Source organism: Homo sapiens, chromosome 5 (assembly GCF_000001405.40).
Source record: "Homo sapiens chromosome 5, GRCh38.p14 Primary Assembly".
NCBI lineage: Eukaryota > Metazoa > Chordata > Mammalia > Primates > Hominidae > Homo > Homo sapiens.
The window spans coordinates 26,755,966-26,763,833 of NC_000005.10; the positions used below are offsets into that span (position 1 = coordinate 26,755,966).

General features: G+C 32.5%; 1 annotated feature.

Annotated features, from left to right (window-relative positions):
• Nucleotides 2,072-2,272: a silencer, noted in NCBI's record as "peak5190 fragment used in MPRA reporter construct". NCBI's record gives its function as "represses an SCP1 promoter by STARR-seq MPRAs in K562 erythroleukemia cells {active_cell/tissue: K562}" and the evidence as "EXISTENCE:reporter gene assay evidence [ECO:0000049][PMID:32103011]".

A 7,868-nucleotide genomic window follows, 5' to 3' on the forward strand; every position in this document is an offset into this window, starting at 1 on the left:
TACACCATAACCAAGTGGGATTTATATTATTAATGCATGTTTGGCTTAATTTAAACAAATCAATGTAAAACATCACATTAATAGCATAAAGGACAAAACAATGTGATCATTTTATTGATGAAGAAATATCATTTGACAAAATGCAACAACCTTTAATTATCCAAACACTCAATCAAATAAAAATAGAAAGGAAATTCTTCAACCTATAATAGAGCACCTATGAAAAATGTACAGCTGACAACCTATGGCAAAAGACTGAACACTTTCCTCCTCAGAATGGGAAGAGGCAGAGAATGTCATTTCTCATCCTTTTAAGTCAACATTTTATTAGATATTACAGGCCGGACAATTAGGCCAGAAAAATAAATAGAAACATTTAGATTGGGTTGGAAGAAGTAAAACTACCTCTGTTCAGATTATATTAACTTTCCTGTAGAATCTTAAAAATAATAACCAAAATAATTAATAAATCTTTTCAGAATTTGCAGGATACAAACTCAACATATTACAGAAATAAAGTGTATTTCTATACACCAGCAAGGAACAATCTGGAAATTAAATTAAGAAGGCATTTCCATTTAAAATATCATAAAGAATAAAATAATTAGGAGTTCACTTAACAAAGCCAATACAACACTTAAAGAATATTGTTTAAAGATGTTTATGTTTTTATATAAAAAAATAAGTAAATAATTGGAAATACATGTCATGTTTGTGAACTGGAAGACTTAACATTGATAAGATGGCTGCAAGAATTTATCTACAGACTGAACAAGATTTCTATCAAAATTTCAGCTGGCTTTATTTTAAAAAATAACCATAAAAATTTAAAAATTTATATGACACTGTGCTAGATCCAAAATACTCAAAACATTCATAATAAAAAAATTTAAAATCTCACATATCCCAGTTTTAAAAGTTACTACAAAGTAAAGTAATCAAGACTGGGTGGTATTGTTTTAAAGATAAACACAACAGAATATCATCAAACATATCAAATCTGTTGATCTTATAGATCAATAGGATATCATTGAAAGCCTAGAAATAAATTCCTTACCTTTATGATTAATTAATTTTTATAAAGCTGCTAAAATAACTTAATGATCATAAAATAGTTCTTTTTTTCAACAAAATGTGCTAAAATAATTGGATCTCCAAATGCGAAAGATGAAGTTGGGCCCCTCTCTCATACCATATACAAAAATGAATTTAAAATGCAACATAAACATAAATGCAGGAGCTAAAGCTATAAAACTTTTAGAAGAAAACATAAAAGTAAATGTTTAGACCTTGAATGAGGCAATGGGATTTTAGATGTGGCACTAAAAGCTCAAGTGACAAAAGAAAAATATATAGTACACATATTATATTTCACAAAAATTAAAAACTTTTGTGCTTCAAAGATCATCACTTGAAAACGAAAAGACAGGATCGGAATGAAAAATATATTTGCAAATAATCTATCTAATGATCTGGTGTCCAAAATATAGAGAACTCTTTAAACTCAAAAATTTTAATAATACATTCAGCTCAACTAAAAATGATTGAAATTGTCATTTTTTTTCAAAGAAGAAATAGTAATGGCCAATATGCACATACAAAATGCTCAACATCATTAGTCATTAGTAACATACAAACCAAACCACCATAAGATATTATTTAGTAACCATCAAAGTGACTGTAATCAAAGAGACAGACAAAAATTAGTCTGGCAAAGGCTATGCATGGTGGCTCATGCCTGTAATTCCAGCACTTTGGGAGGTCAAGGTAGGCGGATCACTTGAGCTAGGAGTTAAAGACCAGCCTGGCAAACATGGTGAAACCCTGTCTCTACTAAAAATACAAAAATTAGCTGGGCATGGTTGTGAGTGCTTGTAATCCCAGCTACTCTGGAGGCTGAGGCAGGAGAATTGCTTGAACTCATGAGGCAGGGGTGTAAGGGTTGCAGTGAACCAAGATAGCACCACTGCACCTGAGCCTTGGCAATAAAGTGAGACTCTGTTTCAAAAAAAAAAAAAAAAATAAGAAAAAATAAAAACAACTAAACAACAAAAAACAAACAAACAAAGAAAAACCAGTCTGGCAAGGATGGTAAGGGTGTGGAGAAATTGTAACTCTCCTGCATTGCTGCCGAGAATGTAAAAATGGCACAGGCACTTTCACAAACAATTCAGCAGTTCCTCAAAATGTTAGTCATTGTATGATTCAGCAATTTTACTCCTACTTATATGCCTAAGAGAACTAAAAGCAGTCTATGAAAATTTTGTATACAGTCTTTCATAGCAGCATTATCCACGATAACATAAAATTGGAAATGTCACTGAACCAGCTGGTGAATGGATAAACATAATGTTGTATATTTATATTCTGGACTATTATTTACCAATTAAAAATGAAGTGTTGATACATGCTATTACATGGATGAACGTTGAAATTATGAAAGGGGGTATATATTGAGTTATTGCATGTGCATGAAATGGACAAATTCATAGAAACAGAAGGTAAATTAGTGGAAAGTGATGATAATTTGTATGAGGTTTCTTTTTGTTGTGATGAAGATATTCTAAACTTAGATAATGGGAATGGTTCCTCACTCTGAATATGCAATAATCAACTAAGTTGTACACTTTAAAAAGGTGAATTTTATGTTATATGACATATCTCAAAAAGGCTGTTAACCAAATTCTCATTTTCTGCTAACTACTTTTAAAGAAACTTAAAGTACAATTTTTAACAAGAGAGTCAAGACTTCAGCTCTCATGGGGATGATGTCGTGGTTTGGGAGTGACAGGCGTTCATGTAACTGAATATATCTATGATCAACCTTTACAATAAAGACAAGAAAATGAAATGGATGTGATAGAAAGTGTCAAATGGTGGGGTGGATAGAAGTTTTTAGAGAGGATAGTAGAAGGGAAATCATTAAAGAAGGTATTAATTCTAAAGAAAATGAGAATCTAGCAGAAGGTATTAAATATAGGAAACACATCATCTTATTTTAATTTCTATAAGAAAACTCTATATTTTGTGGATAATATATATTATCAGAAATAAATAATGGCACAGGAAGGTTGATATAAACAAGTGTAGGCCATAAACAGTTGTTGGTTAAATTTGAGTTTTGGCAGTGGAGAGGTGGAGAACAGGATGGGGTATGTTTTCGAGGTACAAATGACAGATCTTCTAGGTTTGAAACAGTGGGGATAAAGACAGTGAGCATTCATGATAATTCTAAAGTTTTGTCCTTGTACAAAAATGTGGATTGTACCATTAACAGAGATAGAACAGTTACTGGTAGAAATAGTATTGGGGTCCCAGTACATCATAAATTCTTTATTAGCCATATTAATTTTGAGATACTTCCTGGATATTCAGATAAAGTGGGCAATTGTACAGGTAAATATATTATTCATAAAATTGAAACAGAATGCATTCAACCATAGGGAGGAGATGAGGAACTCTACCAAAAACAGAAAGAATATTGTTATAGATTAAATGAAACATGAGGTATATCATATAAGACATGGCTTTTATGAGTTTTAATTGGATTTTTATGAGTTTTAATTGGATTCTGATTCAAACAACTCAAAAATTTTAGAGCAATTTTAATGTACCTAGTTTATTGTTTCCCAAAATTCTATTTTTATTATACTTTTCTTAAAATTATATACCACAAGTTTCTATTAAATGCTTCAAATTATTTAAATAATCATAATTCTCTGAACAAAGTCAATTTTATTATTTGTTCTAGTGACATGAGTCAAACCACTAGAAACTTTCTTCTTGATAGCTTGACCTTTATAATTAAGTGATTTATTAAGATAATATAAATATTCTTCAAAGTTAGATACATAGCTATTAATCATTTTAAAAACTTTTAAAAGCAATGCCTTTATGAGCTAAGGTTAATTGCCTTGCTTACATTTCATACATATATACTTGAATAAATTTCATGTGTTGCTGAGACAGCATCTTTTATAAACTTTAGTTCTACTTCTTTTTTCTGTTTCTATAGACACTAAAACTTAGTAATTTGATTCATATAAATTAGGACATGTAGAATGCCATTTATTTCCTTGAATAACTTGTGAGTTGTAAGCAAAAAAATCACACCATTTATTTTATCTGCATCTATTTTTAATGATCCGTTAGCTGACAATAGACTTGATGCCCGCTTTAAATGTGTAGAAAACAAAGAATTGAAAACTACCTGTCTTAAAAGTGGAATTGTGTTTTCCACTTGTAATTCTCTCCAAAATTTATATGTTAAAATCCTAATCCCCAAGATGAAAACTCGTTGGAGTTGGTGCCTTTGGGAGGTAATTAGGTCCAGAGAACAGGGCACTCATAAATGGGTTAGTGCCCTTATACTGAGGCCTGAGGAAGCTTATTTGACCCTTTCACCACGTGAGGACACAGGGAGAAGTCAGTAGTTTGCAACCAAAAGAGGTCCCCAACCAGAAGGTGACGATACACCCTGACTTGGCGCCCTAATCTTGGATTTGCAGGTTCTAGAACTGTGAGAAAGAAATTTCTGCTGTTTAAAAGCTACTCATTTTAGTGCATTTTGTTATAGCAGCCTGAAGGCATAAGACAAATTGTTATGAGGTCTTTAGAATTACTGTCTTTAGAATTACTTACTATTGAAACATCAATATCAATATCAAAGTGTCATTATAGTTTGGTACCTTCAAAGGGTTCTCTTATTTTTTTTTTTTTTTTTTGCTTTTTTTGTATAGTTGTTTGTTGCTTTGTTTTCACTCCAGAATACAGCACAATGATAAGATTAAGGATATGTGAGGAGCCTGCCTTTCTTTTTTGAAACAGAAACATGGCAGTTTTGAAAGAAAAGGTAGGAAAGGGAACACTGTACCTTCTTTAAACAGCAATTTCATGCAGATTGATTTTAAAAGAATACACACATGAAGTTGATGTAATTAAAATTATCCACATCCATGTTTCCCTTGAACACTTATTGCATAACCCGAGGCATTTCTTTTGTTTTCAAACCACTCCTTCAAAAGAACCAGAGGACAGGCCATTATGAAAAGCATTCTATTCACCATGGATAACACTAGAAATCCCAACACCCCAGGTTGTTGATACACTTAGATTCTATTCTGCACACTTAATCTACCTTAATTCTCTATTCCTCCCCCCTTTTAAAACCATTATTTGTGCACTGTCTCTAACTGACAAGCTGCCATTAGCAATGTCCCTCTATATATCCTCAGCTGTCCTGTGAACATTCCCCTTAATCCTGCCTGAACTGACATCTGACAGGTCCCTGAAGACACGGTCTATTTGGCAGGCTTCCCAACCGGAAGCTGTTTATATTCTTTCACGTCACCTGTGTTAAGGGCTGTGTTAAAGCGCGGTAATTGCCTTCTTTCTTCCTATTACGTGTTCCAAACAATTTCTCACTACCCCGTTTAAAAGTCTAGCTCTTTATATTTTATAACAATTATTTGTAATTATGTTGACCGGCACTTCACTGCCTCACTTCATGGTTTGTATTAGCAGAGTGGCCTGTACTGTCCCAGGAAAATAGCCTCTGAAACTGGGATAAATACTGGCTCAGTTTTACATAATCAGGAGCTGTGCCATAGACTTTGCTTAAAGACAGGAAGAGATATTGGCAGACCCCACAATTCCAACTTCCAACATGTTCTCTTTTTGACTAAAACTGTAAGCCAATATCTGGCTTTGCCTCTCTAGCTTGGAACAGAAGTAGGTACTAGTCATGTAATGCTCAAAAACTAGTTTTCCTCTTTGCTTCCTGGAAATAGCGGAGCTGACCTTGGCCTCCGCATCATCAGCAGTGGCTCCTTTTTCTGGCCTGTTTATATGGATCCATCTCCGGCTCCAAAACATATTTTATCCAAATATGTCTTAAGCCACTTTTGACCTGAGTTGCCTCAGAATTTTGCTTCCTTCTCTTAGAATTTAGTTATTTTAGATATTTATGCTCTGATAGGAGTTACAAACTCCCAGTTATAATCATTCTCACTTTAGTTTTGCTATCCAGAATCCCTCCATCACTCAAAAGCTCACATAAAGTATTTGCCTGTCACTTAATACATTTATTCATATTTATATTTAGCTATTATCTATCTACACGTCAATAATAGATGACATAAGATAGATCCACAGATAGAAACAGATAGATGAGAGAGAGAGGGGGAGAGAGAGAGAGAGAGAGAGAACATCAAAGTGTTTAGCTCCTGGAAATATGGACAAATATCCTGCCTGAACAAGATTACAGTCCATTAAGAAGAGCCTGAAATTAAAACATTTTTACAAGTTTCGTGGTTTCACCTTGCTAATCAGAAAATACAAGACAGTTAAGGAGACGTATAAGGAATTTTACTTAGTTTAAGGAATCCATGATTTTTAAAGTGATTTATAATCTTATATCTGAAATACAAGTGGAAGAAATATCAGAGGTTGAAGTGAAATTGTCCCCAGCAAAAAACAATACACAAAGACTTTCTGAGTTAACTGATTCCTTTGCAGTCACCAGATCTACAAATAATTCTGTATTCTGAGAAAGCTAATGGGGAAATTAGTTTAGGAGCTTTTACATTAAGCATCTAACATGTATATAGTATAAAATAATTTCATAATGTTCTTAAGAAACAAATTAATTGAAGTAGATATCAGAGTTGCATTTAAGTGATCTTATTAATAACTATTTCTCCCTATGTTCTTAATATATAGTTAATCTCATGTCTATTCTTAATTCTCCTAATTTTTCATATGGGCTACAGAGGTGAACTAATCTGTAATATGAAAACCATATTTAATAACAGAAAAACCTGTTTAGATTTATTTTAATCACCAACAGTCATTCTCAGTGATAACTCTTCATCGCAAATTTGAGCACATAAAATTCCAGAGGAGTTAACATAAATAAAAATAAAACAAGATAATGTCAACCTACTGATAGACAGCTGGAAGCATAAACTCTATTGATTGCATTGTTAATGCCATTTGTTTAATCATAACTTTTCAGAATTTTACTCAATTTCTGCTTGAAGATGAACATGTAAGCATAATGTTGTGAAGATAAATTACAAAGTTTGAAAATTGCAACAGTTCTAACTCTAGAATAGAAAGACAGAAAATGTAGTTAGTGAAGAGAAAATTAAACAAAAGAAACTTCTCTTTCAAAACATAGGCAAAATTCAAATGCACAAGTGCAAAGAAATAGTCCTGAGTTATCAGAAACAAGATGAATAGAGAGGAAAAAGTTCCATCAAAACACATTTTGAAGTGATATTCCTTTTTTTGTAAGAAATTCTACAAAATTGGCAATTAGCAACTCTTGTTTATTGTGCAACTGGAATTCTATTTTAGTCATGTTTGGAAGAAAGCCCAAAACTGAAATTGCACAGTTAAGAGTCTTTAAAAGAAAAGTAAGATATTTTGATAACCCTAAAAAAGCATATGTTATGATTCAGATGACTGGGTTAAATGGCTTTTTATTTAAAAGGTTTCTGGAAACAAGAATAAATGTTCCACACAATAACAGCCAAAGGGCAGATGGGGGACGTTGGCGTCTCGAGAAAGGATAATTGGAATTGTGGAACACAATTTATATGTCTTGCAATTGGCAAGGAACATTTTCTTAATTTTTCACATGTACACTCTATGTTTACAAATACAGGAGGAACACATTTAAACGAATAACACAAGAATTAATTTATTGTAATTGCCTAAAAGTATTTTATCTAAAGCACAGGCTTAGGCTGAATAATAACCCTTTATGTCTGTTTTTGTCTTTCAGAGTTGTTCCAAAATTTTCCCTCCGTGAAATCTACCAGAGTCGGAAAATAAGCTAATATCAAAATCTGTGTTTTTAATTT